Consider the following 16,444-nt stretch of genomic DNA (forward strand, 5'->3'; position numbering starts at 1 on the left):
GTCTCAAAAAAAAAAAAAAGAAACATACATAATAGAGCAGAATAAAAACAAACCTGTCCTTTACCTGTCATCTCATATTTTGCAAGGGCTGAGGTCCTCACAGAGAAGAGAAATAGGCTGGGCGCTGTGGCTCATGCTTGTAATCCCAGCACTTTGGGAGGCTGGATCACCTGAGGTCAGGAGTTTGAGACCAGCCTGGTCAACATGGTGAAACCCCATCTCTACTAAAAATAGAAAAAAATAACCAGGTGTGGTGGTGTGCACTCTGTAACCCCAGCTACTCAGGAGGCTGAGACAGGAGAATCGCTTGAAACGCAGGAGGCGGAGGTTGCAGTAAGCAGAGATTGCATGCCACTGCACTCCAGCCTGGGCAACAAGAGTGAAACTCCATCTCAAAAAACAAAACAAAAAAAAAATGAGGAAGGGCATTTCTTGCTTAGTGCCTTTTAAACACCTGATAGAACTCTCTGGAAGCTGTGTTGGACATGGGTGCAAGTTGCAGTATGGTGCAGTCCTGGCTCAGTAGGAGGTTCCATCAACCAGGAGCCCCTTTGTTATTCTGTTTCTGTTTTTTCATGGTGGATAATGTCTATGATGTTGTGGGTACTACATAGGTGAGACTATATAGCACAGCCTCTACCTTTATAAGTGGTGGCAATAAGCATGTGATTAACTGTCATACAACCACAGAGCAAACAGATTTCAGGGAAAAAAAAACACACTTTAGTCCTTTATCAATAACGCCCCCTTTCTCAATGGGCTAGACTCCTCTTTGTTCTTCCCTATACCTTTAAAGAATACAACTATCAGCTTACAAGAAAAACTTTTCCTAAGTCCAAGGACAGGAGAGGCGCAGTGGCTCACCCCTGCAATTCCAGCAATTTGGGAGGCCAAGGTGGGTGGATCACCTGAGGTCAGGAGTTCGAGACCAGCCTGACTGACATAATGAAACCCCATCGCTACTAAAAAAAATACAAAATTAGCCAGGTGTAGTGGCACGTGCCTGTAATCCCAGCTACTCAGGAGGCTGAGGCAGGAGAATTGTTTGAGCCCAGGAGGTGGAGGATGCAGTGAGCCAAGGTCATGCCATTACACGCCAGCCTGGTCAACCAGAGCAAAACCGTCTCAATCAATCAATCAATCAATCAAGTCCAAGGACAGAACAAACAAAAGTAAAATACCTTATTCCTCTTCTAAGCTTCTTAAATTGCTAGGCCTTGGTTTATTGACAAAATATTGTCATGATTGCATGTTTTATTTGCTTTACAATGGTTTCGTGGTCTTATTTTATTTCAAACACTTGATGTTATAGTAAGCTATCTTCTGCATCAATGAGGAAAAAATAAAACTGATATTTAAAAATGCATTTTAGAAATTTGGTGCAGTGGCCAGGCGCGGTGGCTCACGCCTGTAATCCCAGCACTTTGGGAGGCTGAGGCGGGTGGATCACAAGGTCAGGAGATCGAGACCATCCTAGCTAACACAGTGAAACCCCATCTCTGCTAAAAATACAAAAAATTAGCCGGGCGTGGTGGCGGGCACCTGTAGTCCCAGCTACTCGGGAGGCTGAGGCAGGAGAATGGCATGAACCCGGGAGGCAGAGCTTGCAGTGAGCCGAGATTGCGCCACTGCACTCCAGCCTGGGCGACATAGCAAGACTCTGTCTCAAAAAAAAAAAAAAAATTGTTGCACTAATCCTTTTATTAGCGCTGCTAAGAGATAGCACAGGGTCAGGCTTACATTTGTGTTTTATTGAGAAGCCCAGCTCCTAATGGAAATCTTAATGAACAGGGAAATGACAAAGGCAGTCTGATGCAGGTCTTGAGGACGTCCTCAAGGTCCTGAGGGAACCAGCCAGAGAGTGCCTCAACCTCTGTATTCAGAAGTTTGTGGAAGGAGAGGCTGCGCACTTTATCAGTCCTTGTTTCCACAGAGGATTTGAATATTTTGAATGAAGAAAAAGCATTCATGGTGAATGTGAAGGATTATATACCTTGGCACATGAGGGACACTGTTTCCCAAACTCATACCCACCACCTTCACAATGTTGCCAAAACCACTCACTACCTGTACTAATATATATGGATGTGTGTAGAAATATATGTGTGTGTGTATATATATATATATAGACAGTCTGGCTCTGCTGCCCAGGCTGCAGTGCAGTGGCACAATCTTGGCTCACTGCAACTTCCACATCCCAGGTTCAAGCAATTCTGCCTCAGCCTTCCAAGTAGCATGCACCACCATGCCTGGCTAAATTCTTTTTGTATTTTTAGTAGATACGGGGTTTCACCATGTTGGTCAGGCTGGTTTCAAACTCCTGACTTCAGGTGATCCACCCACCTCGGCCTCCTAAAGTTCTGGGATTATAGGCGTGAGCCATGGAGCCCAGTGTATTTTTTTTTTTTTTTTTTTTTTTGAGACGGAGTCTCACTCTGTTGCCAGGCTAGAGTGCAGTGGTGCGATCTCGGCTCATTGCAACCTCTGCCTCCTGGGTTCAAGCGATTCTGCTGTGTCAGCCTCCCAAGTAGCTGGGACTACAGGCACCCACCACCATGTCCAGCTAATTTTTGTCTTTAGTAGAGAAGGGGTTTCACCATCTTGGCCAGGATGGTCTGGATCTCTTGACCTCATGATCTGCCCACCTCAGCCTCCCAAAGTGCCAGGATTACAGGCATGAGCCACCACCCCCGGCCTATTTTTTTTTTTTTTTTTTTTTTTTAGAGACAGGGTCTTGCTCTGTAGCCCAGACTGGAGTGCAGTGGTGTGATCATAGCCTTGAACTCCTGGGCTCAAGGGATCCTCCTGCATCAACCTCTTGAGTAGCTGGGATTACAGCTTGAAGCACCTTGCCTGGCCCTAAATAAATATTTTTAAAGGAACCTTTGGACAGAGGAATATGTTAAATGAAACTACGGGGATGTAAGCAGCAAACTCCAGACCCTCAACCCGTAAAACAACCCCAGCTTCTTCAACAAATAAATTGCAAGGAAAAAGGGAAGGGAAACCTAGTAAAACTTAAGGCCAGGTTCAGTGGCGCACGCCAATGATCCTAGAACTTTGGGAGGCTGAAGGGGACAGATCTTTTGAGCCCAGGAGTTTGAGACCAATGTGGGCAACATGGCAAAACCCTCTGTCTACAAAAGATAGAAAAATTAGCTGCCACTAGGGTGCATGCCTGTAATCCCAGATATTCAAGAGGCTAAGGTGGGAGGATCACTTGAGCCCAAAAGGTTGAGGTTGCAGTGAGCTAAAATTGTGCCACTGCACTGAAGCCTGGGCAACAGAGTGAGACCCTGTCTCAAAAAGAAAAAGACAGTTAAGAGACATCAATCAAATAAATGCATGACACTACTTTGGATTCTAATTGGATTCTCATTGGGAAAAAGAGAAACTTGAGTAAGAATTATTGTCAGGGCCGGGTGCGGTGGCTCACACCTGTAATCCCAGCACTTTGGGAGGCCCAGGCGGGCGGATCACAAGGTCAGGAGATGGAGACCACGGTGAAACCCCGTCTGTACTAAAAATACACACAAAAAAATTAGCCGGGCGTGGTGGCGGGGCGCCTGTAGTCCCAGCTACTTGGGAGGCTGAGGCAGGAGAATGGCTTGAACCCGGGAGGCAGAGCTTGCAGTGAGCCGAGATCGCGCCACTGCACTCCAGCCTGGGTGACAGAGCGAGACTCCATCTCAAAAAATAAATAAATAAATAAATAATTGTCGGAGCCAGGGGTGGTGGCTCATGCCTGTAATCCCAGCACTTTGGGAGGCTGAGGCGGGCGGATTCCAAGGTCAAGAGATCGAGACCATCCTGGCTAACACGGTGTAACCCTGACTGTACTGAAAATACAGAATTAGCGGGATGTGTTGGCGGACGCCTGTAATTCCAGCTACTCGGGAGACTGAGGCAGGAGAATCGCTTGAACCCGGGAGGTGGAGGTTGCGGTGAGCCGAGATGGCGCAACTGCACTCCAGCCTGGGCAAGAGCAAAACTCTTATCTAAAAAAAAAAAAAAAAGGCCGGGTGCGTTGGCTTACGCCTGTAATCCCAACACTTTGGGAGGCCGAGGCGGGTGGATCACGAGGTCAGAAGATCCAGACCATCCTGGCTAACACAGTGAAACACCGTCTCTACTAAAAATAGAAAAAAAATGAGCTAGGCGTGGTGGCGGGCGCCTGTAGTCCCAGCTACTTGGGAGGCTGAGGCAGGAGAATGGTGTGAGCCCGGGAGGCAGAGCTTGCAGTGAGCCGAGATCACACCACTGCACTCCAGCCTGGGCGACCGAGCAAGACTCTGTCTCAAAAAAAAAAAAAAAAAAAGAATTATTGTCAGTTTTCTTGAGTGTGATAATAGTATTTAGTCTGCTGAAATTGCTTGCTGATGAAATTGTACAGGGCACTGTACAGCACTTCATATCACTTGACCCAATACACAAAAAAACTCAGGAGTCTGAAGTGGGAGAATCACTTGAGCCTAGGAGTTCAAGAGCACCCTGGGCAACATAGACCCCATCTCGAAAAACTAAAATAAGTGGCCGGGTGCGGTGGCTCACGCCTGTAATCCCAGCACTTTGGGAGGCCAAGGCGGGCAGATCACGAGATCAGGAGATCGAGACCATCCTGGCTAACACGGTGAAACCCCGTCTCTACAAAAAATACAAAAAATTAGTCAGGCGTGGTGGCACACGCCTGTAATCCCAGCTACTCGGGAAGCTGAGGCAGGAGAATGGCGTGAACTCAGGAGGCGGAGCTTACAGTGAGCCGAGATCACGCCCCTGCACTCCAGCCTGGGCTACGGAGCTAGACTCCGTCTCAAAAAAAAAAAAAAAAAGAAAAGAAAAAAGAAAACTAAGTCAGTTTATAGCTCACAAGCACACATTTTCAGTATGAAACTTAATAGGCTGGGGCCTGGTCCATACTCCTATAAAGGGAGACAGATTTTGGCTCAGTCTAAGGAAATCCAACAACTAGGACACCAACAATAGGTTTCCTTTGGGAAAGAGTTTTTTGGGTTTTTTTTTTTTTTTTTTGAGACAGAGTCTCGCTCTGTCGCCCAGACTGGAGTGCAGTGGCGTGATCTCGGCTCACTGCAAGCTCCGCCTCCCAGGTTCACTCCATTCTCCTGCCTCAGCCTCCTGAGTAGCTGGGACTACAGGCTCCCGCCACCACGCCTGGCTAACTTTTTGCATTTTTAGTAGAGACGGGGTTTCACCGTGTTAGCCAGGATTGTCTCGATCTCCTGACCTTGTGATCCGCCTGCCTCGGCCTCCCAAAGTGCTGGGATTACAGGCGTGAGCCACCACGCCAGGCCGAGGTTTTTTTTTTTTTTTTTGAGACAGAGTCTCGCTCTGTAGCCCAGGCTTGAGTACAGTGGCACGATCTCAGCTCACTGCAACCTCCGCCTCGCAGGTTCAAGCGATTCTCCTGCCCCAGCCTCCTGAGTAGCTAGGATTACAGGTGCCCGCCAGCACTCCCGGCTAATTTTTGTATTTTTAGTAGAGATGAGGTTTCACCATCTTGGCCAGGCTGGTCTTGAACTCCTGACCTTGTGATCCACCAGACTGAGCCTCCCAAAGTGCTGGGATTACAGGTGTGAGCCACCGTGCCTGGCCTGGTTGTTTTTTTTTTGTTTGTTTTTTGTTTTTTGAGATGGAGTCTCGCTCTGTTCCCCAGGCTGGAATGCAGTGGTGTGATCTTGGCTTGCTACAACCTCTGCCTCCCAGGTTCAAGCAATTCTCCTGGCTTGGCCGCCAAGCAATTAGCTGGGACCACAGGTGTGTGCACACTGACATGCCTGCCTAATTTTTGTATTTTTAGTAGAGACAGGGTTTCACCATCTTGGCCAGGCTGGTCTTGAACTCCTGACCTCCCAATAATCTGTCCACCTCGGCCTCCCAGAGTGCTGGAATTCTAGGTGTGAGGTGCCATTCCCGGCCTCAAGTGGAGGTTTGATAACAACTGGCAAAAGGAGGATTCAGTGTTAGACTAGAAATTAGATGAGCTGATCCCCAGGAGCCTATGGTTCCTTGAATCCCTGAATGGGAGCATTAAGACCAGTGGAAATGAGAAAGAATTATTGATCACATCTCTACAAATGGGCATAAACTGTTCCTACCATTCAGTAGATAAACTGAGGCCACAGGCTGGGTATGGTGGCTTATTCCTGTAATCCCAGCCACCGCTGCACTCCAGCCTGGGTGACAGAGGGAGACTCTGTCTAAAAAAAAAATCAAACTAAAAAAAAAATAATAAATAAAATGAGGCTGGGTGCGGTGGTTCACACCTATAATGCCAGCACTTTGGGAGGCCGAGGCGGGGCGGATCTGAGGTCGGGAGTTCCAGACCAGCCTGACCAACATGGAGAAACCCCGTCTCTACTAAAAATACAAAAAAAATTAACCAGGCGTGGTGGCGCAGCCTGTAATTCCAGCTACTAGGGAGGCTGAGGCAGGAGAATCGCTTGAACCCAGGAGGCGGAGGTTGCAGTGAGCCGAGATTGCACTGAGCCAAGATCATGCCATTGTACTCTGGCCTGGGCAACAAGAGTGAAATTCCGTCAAAAAATAGTAATAATAACGAGGCCACAGTGGCTGTAACTGTGATAGCTACTGCTTTACATATCTTGCAGGCTGGGCATGATGGCTCATGCCTGAAATCCCAGCACTTTGGGAGGCCAAGGCAGGTGGATCGCTTGAGCCCAGGAGTTTGAGACCAGCCTGAGCAACAGCGCGAAACGTCATCTCCACAAAAGATACAAAAATTAGCCATGCGTGATAGTGCATGCCTGTAGTTCCAGCTGCTTGGGAGCTAGAGGGGTTGAGGCTGCAGTGAGTCGTGATAGTGCCACTGCACTCCAGCCTCGGAAACAGAGAGACCTTGTCTCAAAATAAATAAATAAATTAATTAATTAAAATATTGCAAATTCCTGACTGCCACCTGCAAGAAAACATGCCCTTTATGCTGGATATTGAAAGCAAATGCTTGCTTCTCAGGAGAATCTCACCAGGAACAGAACCTCTTTAGCTAAGTAGTACATGTGACCACAGTCTGATCAATACAATGGTTCCTGTGTTCCCCAGACTGTCTGGAGAGATCATCTACATCAAAATTGTCTACACATATAGACCATTTATTATGCCTTGATTTTAAGAACTGATGTTCTGAGACAACCAGGTTTTTTTTTTTCTGTTTTGTGTTTCTGTTGAAATTGAGATATTCAGACCGTAAAATCCACCCTTTTAAGGGCAACTGATTCATAAAGGCATTTTGATTTGATATTTACTCTAGGGAAGACTTTTGAAAAGGTGTTCTACCCAGCTAGAATAGCTTTTATTGTATTTATTTATATCTTGCCTTGTTTCATCAAGGAATTAAAGCAGTAACGTACTTGCATAAATAAAATTAGGAGCCATTTGAAAGATAAGCTAGAAGTTTATTTCAACACAAAGAATGTGAAAGAATGTAGAATTCATTCAGCAGAAAAATGTTAACCATCTTTTGCTTCCCATATGTCCTAGTTAAGGAGCTTTCTTTAGCCACATGGCTGCTCACCTTTCCTTCCTGTAACTCAAAAATAGTCACTTGCTGGTAAGGGTTCACAGTGCTGAATATGACACAGACTCAAAAAGAGAGAAGAATATTTACTTGTCATTTTCCCCCTTTTCTTTTTTTCTTTTTTGAGATGGAGTCTCGCACTGTCACCCAGGGTTGGAGTGCAATGGCGTGATCTCGGCTCACTGCAACCTCCGCCTCCCGGGTTCAAGCAATTCTCCTGCCTCAGCCTCCCGAGTAGCTGGGATTACAGACGCCTGCCACCACGCCCAGCTAATTTTTTGTATTTTTAGTAGAGATGGGGTTTCACTATGTTGGCCAGCCTGGTCTCCAACTCCTGACCTTGTGATCCGCCCGCCTCGGCCTCCCAAAGTGCTGGGATTACAGGCGTGAGCCACCGCGACCAGCGTATTTCTGTTTTCCTTCCTGCTTTATTTGCACTCATGTCCTTACGTACCAAGAAAAAGTTTGTAGGCAAACCTTTAGGCCCTCCTACAGCACAGGCGGGGCCAGACTCCTCACACATTCCCAGAGCTCTTTTTTGCCCCCATCCCATGATGGCACCCCAAACTCCCATTTCTTTGCTATCTCCACTGTCAGTAACCACCTGCGTGACCTTAGGTGAGTAACCTAAACCTCCCTAGACTGTTGTCGTCACACTTTTCAAGTGAGGGAGTTGGACTACATGAACTGTAAGATCCTCTCATCCTGAGTTTCTCGCTTTAGGTTTTGCAAGTACCCATCATTGCCACAGCACCTCAGACCCTCAACCTCCCACCACTAATCAGCCACTATGGGCCTTAGTGTTTCCTGCCTTCCAGTTTCTCATCTTCAAAGAAGTCAATTCATATCTACAACTTGAGGCAAAAATTTCAGATCATCAATACAGTACCTGTTCTATCAACAAAAGGTCTTTCAGTGGGGAAAGCAGAGGTAACAAGGCAACAAAGCCAAATACACAAAAGGACAGAAAAAGAAAACAACTTACAGTTCTTGGTTAACTAAGTTCAACTTTTCATTATTATTTTATAGTGACAGGCAGGCCTCACTATGTTGCCCAGGCTAATCTGTAACTCCTAGCCACAAGCGATCCTTCACCTCAGCCTCCCAAAGTGCTGGGAGAACAGGCATGAGCCACCCCAACAGCCCTTCAAACAATGTTGTTTTTTTTTTTTTTTTTGAGACAGAGTCTCACTCTTGTTGCCCAGGTTGGAATGCAATGATGCGATCTCGGCTCACTGCAACCTCCGCCTCCCAGGTTCAAGCAATTCTCCTGCCTCAACCTCCTGAGTAGCTGGGATTACAGGCACCCGCCACCAAGCCTGGATAATTTTTGTTTTCTTTTTTTTGAGGTGGAGTTTCGGTCTTGTCACCCAGGCTGAAGTGCAGTGGCGTGATCTCAGCTCACTGCAACCTCTACCTCCTGGGTTCAAATGATTCTCCTGCCTCAGCCTCCCAGGTAGCTGGGATTACAGGCGCCCACCACCACTCCTGGCTAATTTTTGTAGTTTTAGTAGAGACGGTTTCACCATGTTGGCCAGTCTGGTCTTGAACTCCTGACCTCAAGTGATCCGCCCGCATTGGCCTCCCAAAGTGCTGTAATTACAGGTGAGAGCCACCATACCTAGACAATTTTTTTTGTGTTTTTAGTAGAGATGGGGTTTCACCATGTTGGGCAGGCTGGTCACCTCGGCCTCCCAAAGTGTTGGTATTACAGGCATGAGCCACCACACCTGGAAGAAACAATGTTTTTAACCAGTATAGCAGGCAGGGTGTTTGCAGTGGCAAGCCAGGTTCAAATGCTGGCTTGCCCCTTAACTAGCCTCTGTGACCCTGAACAAGTTAACTTTGATTTCTAAGTCTCAGGTTTATGAACAACAACAAACAAAACAGGAAGTGGACCTCATACCTCCTAATGTTGTTGAGGATTAAATGAGTATTTATACGAAATGTCTGATAAAGCCCAGAAGACAGCTCGACTGCAATAATAAATCATAATTTTATAAGCTTCCTTAATTTCTATACTTCTCCTAAGTAAAGGCTACATCGCCCTCTGCCTGTCCCACTTTTTTCCTCATGAGCAGTCTGACCCCTACCCCTACCCCTACCCCAAGTACAGATGTAACATTCCAAAAAGAACTGAAGGAGAGCCGTGGCTCACGCCTGTAATCCCAGCACTTTGGGAGGCAGAGGCGGGCGGATCATGAGGTCAGGAGATCGAGACCATCCTGGCTAACACGGTGAAACCCTGTCTCTACTAAAAATACAAAAAATTAGCCGGGCTTGGTGGTGGGTGCCTGTAGTCCCAGCTACTAGGGAGGCTGAGGCAGGAGAATGGTGTGAACCAGGAAGGCGGAGCTGGCAGTGAGCCGAGATCGCGCCACTGCATTCCAGCCTGGGTGACAGAGAGACTCCGTCTCAAAAAAAAAAAAAAAAAAAAAAAAAAGAACTGCAGGAGAGGTATGAAAGCATGCAGGTTTTTAGAAGAAACCAGCCAACACCAGTTCAAAGAAATACCTTCATTGCTAGCTTTATGTTCCAGAACATACAGTGAGAAGCGATTACACCTCAGGAAAATTCCCAGTGCCCTTGGAGAGAGCTGACATAGGCTTTGCCCCATAAAGTCCTGCTTATCTGGCTGGGCAAAGAAAAGGGTAGGAGGCTGGGCATGGTGGCTCACGCCTTTAATCCCAGCACTTTTTAAGGCCAAGGTGGGCAGATCACCTGGGGTCAGGAATTTGAGACCAGCCTGGCCAACATGGTGAAACCCTGTCTCTACTAAAAATACAGGAATTAGCTGGGCGTGGTGGCGCGTTCCTGTAATCCCAGCTACTCAAGAGGCTGAGTTAAGAGAATCGCTTGAGGCCAGGCACGGTGGCTCAAGCCTGTAATCCCAGCACTTTGGGAGGCTGAGGCGGGTGGATCACGAGGTCAGGAGATCGAGACCATCCTGACTAACACGGTGAAACCCCGTCTCTACTAAAAAATACAAAAAATTAGGCGGGCGTGGTGGGCCAAGATCGCGCCACTGCACTCCAGCCTGGGGGACAGAGTGAGACTCTGTCTCAAAAAAAAAAAAAAAAAAAGGAATCGCTTGAACCTGGGAGGCAGAGGTTGCAGTGAGCTGAAATTGCGCCACTGCACTCCAGCCTCAGTGACAGAGCAAGACTCAAAAAAAAAAAGGCAGCTGGGCGCGGTGGCTCATGCCTGTAATCCCAGCACTGCGGGAGGTGGAGATGGGCGGATCACGAGGTCAGATCTGTCAGAAGATCGAGACCATCCTGGCTAACACGGTGAAACCCTGTCTCTACTAAAAATCAAAAAAAATTAGCCAGGCATGGTGATAGGCGCCTGTAGTCCCAGCTACTCGGGAGGCTGAGGCAGGAGAATGGCGTGAATCGGGGAGGCTGAGCTTGCAGTGAGCCGAGATCGCGCCACTGCACTCCAGTCTGGGTGACAGAGTGAGACTCTGTCTCAAAAAAATAAAAGATTAAAAAAAAAAAAGGGTAGGAACTTTCAGCCTGGGCAGAGCCTTTATTCTTGTCACCCAGCAGGGGTGATAAGGTGCCACCAACCTTCTGAGCTGCCATCTAAGGATGGTAAGAGCAGCCTAGCATCAGCTCATGCTCCCTTAGATGTTAGTTTTTGGGGCCAATACAAAATCTTTAGGTGGCCCTCCACCACTGCTGCTCTGTCTGTCTGCTGTTGGGGAGCCAGGGAGAGGCTGCACCCCTAGAAGGGGTCCCACTTCTGGATCTGGTTTGCTGCGTTTGGCCAGGTCCTCATTGTGAGCCTTGCGGATGTGGCGGTAGAGGTCCCCTGACTGCGTGTAGCTCCGCAGGCAGTAGCGGCACTCATAGGGTCGCTCACGTGTGTGCACCGTGGCATGTCGCCGTAGTGTGTAAGAGCATGAGAAGGTCTTCCCACATGTCTTGCAGGTGGGAACATCCTCAGTAAAAACCCCAAAGCTTCCTGGAGCTGCTTCGTACTCAGAAGACAGGTAAAGTGGCTCATGCAGGGATGCGGGTGCAGGCAGAGGTGAGGTCACCAGTCCTCGATGATACTGCCCTGCACCTGGCAGCAGATGGTAGGGTAGATGAGGGTCTGTTGGCAGGAAGTGGTCACTTGGCCCCACCTCCTCCAGTCCTGCTGCCCCTGGGTCTTCAAAAGCCTCTGGCTGGGAGGGCTGTGCCCCATACACTGCTCCTCCAGATGGGAAAGCTCTCTCAGGACCCTGAGGCTGTTCATCTGACACATCAGTCTCTTCATCAGAGATCACAATAGCTTCAACTTTCACCTGGACCAGCTCAGCTTCAGCTGGGGCTGGAGCCTGGGATGGAACTGGAGCTGAGACAGGGGCTGGGGCTGACGTTGGGGCTGAGGCTGGGGGATAGAAGCCTTGCAGTGGTCCTCCAGGATCCTTTGGTTCCACCACCCTCAGACTCTCAGGACCCACATCAAGAGATGGCAGTGGCTCCAATGAAACTGCTGAGATGCCAGAAGAGAAGTAGTTTGTAGGAATGGTCTCAGTGGAGCTACTAGGGCTGGCAAGAGAGACATCAGCCACTGGTGGATGAGGTGCCCGCAGATGTGGTGCGTCAACCTCCATGCCAGGCTGTGTAGTGTCAGCCCCACTAGACATTGGTGGCTCATCTGGAGGACGGACAGTAGGTGAGGGAGCAGCAGAGCCTTTCCATTCCCCTTTGCCCCAGTGGCCTGATGTCTCAGCAGATGCCAACGAAGGTTGGGTGCCACGGGAAGTACTAGACAAAAACTCCAAACTAGGAAGCTGTGAGTTGGTTTCCTCCTCCTTCTTGGTACTGTCTGCCTCTGCCAGGGCCCGGGCTTGAAGCCGCCGCTTACACACCTTGACGATGTCATTCATGTGCAAGTAGCTGGCAGCTGCCAGCACATCCTCCACAGGGGTATCCCCTCTCAGGGTCAGCTGGCCAGCATACATAAAGTCCAGAAGCAGCCCAAAGGCTGGGGCTGTGACAATTTCATTGTGAATACACACCAGATCCCTCTTGTCCAATTCCCGCTCCTTGTAGAAAAGCTGGAAGAATGGGCTGCAGGAGGCCAGCACAGCCCGATGGGCCAAGAACTGGGTACTACCCACCATCACGGTGCAGTCACAAAGGAAACCCTGGGACCGCTGCTCCCGGAGGCTCTGCAGCAGCTGCTGACTGTGTTCTGGGAACTCCATAGTACCCCACGAAGGAAAGGGGGCCCAAAAAAGGTCCCCACCAGTGGCTCCCTGAGAAAAAAGGGCAGTGAGTTAAGACAGGTAACCTCCCCAGCAACCTTATCAGCCCTTAACTATCACTTGCCACTCCAAAACAATCGCTTAAGTTACTGCCCTTCTTTCTCCTAGGTCACACCCAAAGCTCTCCCATTAGCTCCGCCCACCTCGGCCTAACCTTAGAACAGGCCCCACCCCCGTCCGATAAGCCCTGCCCCCGGAAGTCCCGCCCCTTAGCCACCCTCCGCTTCCTTGATGCCCACCCGGTAGCGTCCAACGGCTCCACGAAGTAGAGATCTTTTTCGCTCCCAGGCCTTGCCAGGCGATGCCTCTACGCCCCACTTCGAGAACTCCCTAAGCATCTCCCTCACGCATTCCAGGGGCTAAGGACTACCAGGGTGGGAACTAGCGGAGAAAGCTGATACCTCACCCACCACCGAGCAGCCACAGGGCGAGCTCCGCCCCTTCCCACCTTCTCAGCTTTAATTGGCTTAAGATTGCCCTCCCCTGTCACGGATTGGTCCGCTCTCCACTAACCATCCTCCCTCTAACTGCCGTCTACAATTGGGTGCTCGCCGCCATCGCTTTTGCAGTCAGGCGTTGGATTGGGTGACGCTCCTGTCCTCAACTTTTCCTCTTCGTCCCGCCTTCCTTGCCTCCGAGCCCTCAGGATTGGCTGAGCTTCTCCTTCTACCTAATCCAGCAGGCAGGAGGTACCCGGCTCCGAGTCGCTGAACGCGGCGCTCTCCTGGCGAGGCTGGAGGTCGGGAACCCTGCAGTGTCGGACCCGAGCTGACAGCAAGCCACTCCCGCTACAGGCTGACAGGGAAAAAGAGAACCAACTAGGCCAGGCGCAGTGCTTCACGCCTGTAATCCCAGGACTCTGGGAGGCCGAGGAGGGCGGATCACTTGGGGTCAGGAGTTCGATACCAGCCTGGCCAACATGCTGAAACCCCGTCTCTACTAAAAATACAAAAATTAGCAGGTCTTGGGGGCGCGCGCCTGTAATCCCAGCTACTGGGGAGGCTGAAGCAGGAGAATCACTTGAACCCGGGAGGCGGAGGTTGCAGTGAGTCAAGATCGTGCCACTGCACTCCAGCCTGGGCGACAGAGTAAGACCCTATCCCCCCACCCCCCCAAAAAAAGAGAACCAACTGGTGACTGTGGGCAATAGCCCCACGTCCCTGAACTGCGTTTGTCTCTTGAAGGTCCCTTCCTCTCAAAAATTCTAAGATTTGCCGGGTTCGGTGGCTCACGCCTTTAATCCCAGCAGTTTGGGAGGCTGAGACGGGCAGATCACTTGAGGTCCGGAGTTCAAGAGCAGCCTGGCCAACATAGTGAAACCCCATCTCTACTAAAAATACAAAAATCAGCTGGGCATGGTGGCGCGTGCCTGAAATCCCAGCTTCTAGGGAGGCTGAGGCAGGAGAATCTCTTGAACCCAGGAGGCAGAGGTTGCAGTGAGCCAAGATAGCGCCACTGCACTCCAGCCTGGGAGACAGAGCAAAACTCCATCTAAAACAAACAAACAAAAAAACATTTTAAGATGCCCTACTGCTCCACTCCTCCAAGCTAAGTTTCCGGGGCTCCCGGCTCAGTGATGGCATGAAAGAACTAGCAGCTACAGGGATGATGTCGTGGTGTCCCTAGCCTGGACTCTACAGTCAATTTACAGTGAGAGGATAGAGTGTTCTTTGTTTCCAGAGCGTGCTGAGCAGGTGCTGGTAGGAAGGGTAAGAATGGGGTCAGGATCATAAAATGTCCCAGGACAGGAGAGAAGAAGCAAAAACCGTGTCTACTGAAGAAATCTTTGAGAGTCTCTACACACCCAGAGGAAAAGGCTATAAGTTGGGAGTCACTGATAACTGCCCCGTCTGACCCAGGTAGTGTTACTAGAGGAGTAAACTCGGTGCCCTAATCCTCACTCCTTCACCCACCACCCTAAGCATCTCTACTTTATTCTGCAGTCAGGCCCTCCGATCAGACCTAACCAGAATTAGGGAGAGTTCATCTATACAACAAACTTGTGCTACATACATTCAGGATATGTTGGCCTTAGCTTGAGATCATGCCTCTTCAAGACACTGTGTTCATTCTTACAAGCCATACAATATTTACTGTATAGGAATTAAAACTAAGAAATGGGCCGGGCACAGTGGCTCATGCCTGTAATCCCAGCACTTTGGGAGTCCGAGGCAGGTGGATCACCTGAGGTCGAGAGTTCGAGACCAGCCTGACCAACATGGAGAAACCCTGTCTCTATTAAAAGTACAAAAATTAGCAGGGTGTGGTGGCGCATGTCTGTAATCTCAGCTACTTGGGAGGCTGAGACGGGAGAATCACTTGAACTTGGGGGGCGGAGGTTGTAGTGAGCCGAGATCGTGCCGTTGCACTCCAGCCTGGGCAACAAGAGTGAAATTCCATCTCAAAAAAAAAAAGAATAAATAAATAATAATAATAAAAATATAAAAATTAGCTTGGCACCTATAATCCCAGCTACTTGGGAGGCTGAGGCAGGAGAATCCATCTCAAAAAATATATATATGTTTTTATATATACATATATGTAAATATAAATATATAAATTATATACATATAAAAATATATGTATGTATATGTTGTAAATAGAGAAGGGGGACTCTGTGTTGCCCAGGCTGGTCTTGAACTCCTGGGCTCACGTGATCCTCCCAGCTTGGCCTCCCAAAATGCTGAGATTACAGGTGTCAGCCACCAAGCCTGACCTTTTTAATTTTTAATTTAATTTAATTTTCATTTATTTTTCTTTTTTTGCGTCTTGCTCTGTTGCCCAGGCTGGAGTGCGGTGGGGTGATCTTGTCTCATTGCAGTTCTGACCCCTCAGGTGATCCACCCACTTTGGCCTCCCAAAGTGTTGTGATTACAGGCATGAGCCACCTTGCCTGGCCTCATATATATTTATATTTGTTTGTTTTGTTTGTTTTGAGACAGTGTGTCGCTCTGTCGCCCAGGCTGGAGTGCAGTGGCACGATCTTGGCTCACTGGAAGCTCCGCCTCCCGGGTTCACGCCATTCTCCTGCCTCAGCCTCCTGAGTAGCTGGGACTACAGGCGCCGGCCACCACGCCCAGCTAATTTTTTGTATTATTAGTAGAGACGGGGTTTCACTGTGTTAGCCAGGATGGTCTCGATCTCCTGACCTCATGATCCACCCGCCTCTGCCTCCCAAAGTGCTGGGATTACAGGCATGCGCCACCACACCCGGCTAATTTTGTATTTCTAGTAGAGACAAGGTTTCTCCATGTTGGTCAGGCTGGTCTCGAACTCCCAACCTCGGGTGATCCGCCCGTCTCGGCCTCCCAAAGTGTTGGGATTACAGGCGTCAGCCACCGCCCCCGGCATATATATATATATATATATATATATATATATATATATATATATATATGTATTTTTTTAAAATAGAGATGGAAAAATAACTATTTACCAAAATCAATAAATATGTCGTGAGAATAATGGCATTGTTTTACAGGGGGGTTGGGGGGAGACACTGTTTTTCTCTCCTCTCACACCACCACAACAATCAACAAAGAAGGCTACTGTGTGACCAAATGTGTTGGTTTTTTCCCCAGTCCACAAGCAAGCAGTTCCAGCTGGGTGTCCTCTTGTTTAATGCCAAC

At 48.9% G+C, this 16,444-nt stretch overlaps 1 protein-coding gene across 3 annotated transcripts, besides 3 other annotated features; it reads right to left on the reverse strand.

Annotated features, from left to right (window-relative positions):
- Nucleotides 1–10,053: 10,053 nt before the first annotated feature.
- On the reverse strand, nt 10,054–13,251 carry ZBTB3 (zinc finger and BTB domain containing 3). 3 transcript variants are annotated; one of them, NM_001363109.2, is made up of 2 exons: nt 13,222–13,251; nt 10,054–12,806 (listed from the first exon to the last, which is right to left on the reverse strand). In NM_001363109.2, exon 2 carries the CDS (start codon nt 12,753–12,755, stop codon nt 11,181–11,183), a length of 1,575 nt encoding a protein of 524 aa, NP_001350038.1. In that variant the 5' UTR covers nt 12,756–12,806; nt 13,222–13,251; the 3' UTR covers nt 10,054–11,180. The 3 variants fall into 3 exon arrangements, with proteins under 3 accessions (NP_001350038.1, NP_001350037.1, NP_001357738.1); NM_001363108.2 differs by having other exon boundaries at nt 13,217–13,251; NM_001370809.1 differs by having other exon boundaries at nt 13,055–13,251.
- Nucleotides 11,904–12,781: an enhancer, noted in NCBI's record as "H3K27ac-H3K4me1 hESC enhancer chr11:62520285-62521162 (GRCh37/hg19 assembly coordinates)". NCBI's record gives its function as "activates a minimal SCP1, AML or CMV promoter by ChIP-STARR-seq in naive H9 embryonic stem cells {active_cell/tissue: H9 hESC(naive)}" and the evidence as "EXISTENCE:reporter gene assay evidence [ECO:0000049][PMID:30033119]".
- Nucleotides 13,662–14,539: an enhancer, noted in NCBI's record as "H3K27ac-H3K4me1 hESC enhancer chr11:62522043-62522920 (GRCh37/hg19 assembly coordinates)". NCBI's record gives its function as "activates a minimal SCP1, AML or CMV promoter by ChIP-STARR-seq in primed H9 embryonic stem cells {active_cell/tissue: H9 hESC(primed)}" and the evidence as "EXISTENCE:reporter gene assay evidence [ECO:0000049][PMID:30033119]".
- Nucleotides 15,918–16,444: an enhancer, noted in NCBI's record as "H3K27ac-H3K4me1 hESC enhancer chr11:62524299-62524825 (GRCh37/hg19 assembly coordinates)". NCBI's record gives its function as "activates a minimal SCP1, AML or CMV promoter by ChIP-STARR-seq in primed H9 embryonic stem cells {active_cell/tissue: H9 hESC(primed)}" and the evidence as "EXISTENCE:reporter gene assay evidence [ECO:0000049][PMID:30033119]".

The sequence above is a fragment of the Homo sapiens genome, chromosome 11 (genome assembly GCF_000001405.40).
Source record: "Homo sapiens chromosome 11, GRCh38.p14 Primary Assembly".
In the NCBI taxonomy this organism is placed as follows: Eukaryota; Metazoa; Chordata; class Mammalia; order Primates; family Hominidae; genus Homo; species Homo sapiens.

Excerpts from the sequence above, each read along its gene's own strand:
- ZBTB3 (NM_001363109.2), bottom strand. The coding sequence starts at position 12,755 with ATGGAGTTCCCAGAACACAGTCAGCAGCTGCTGCAGAGCCTCCGGGAG.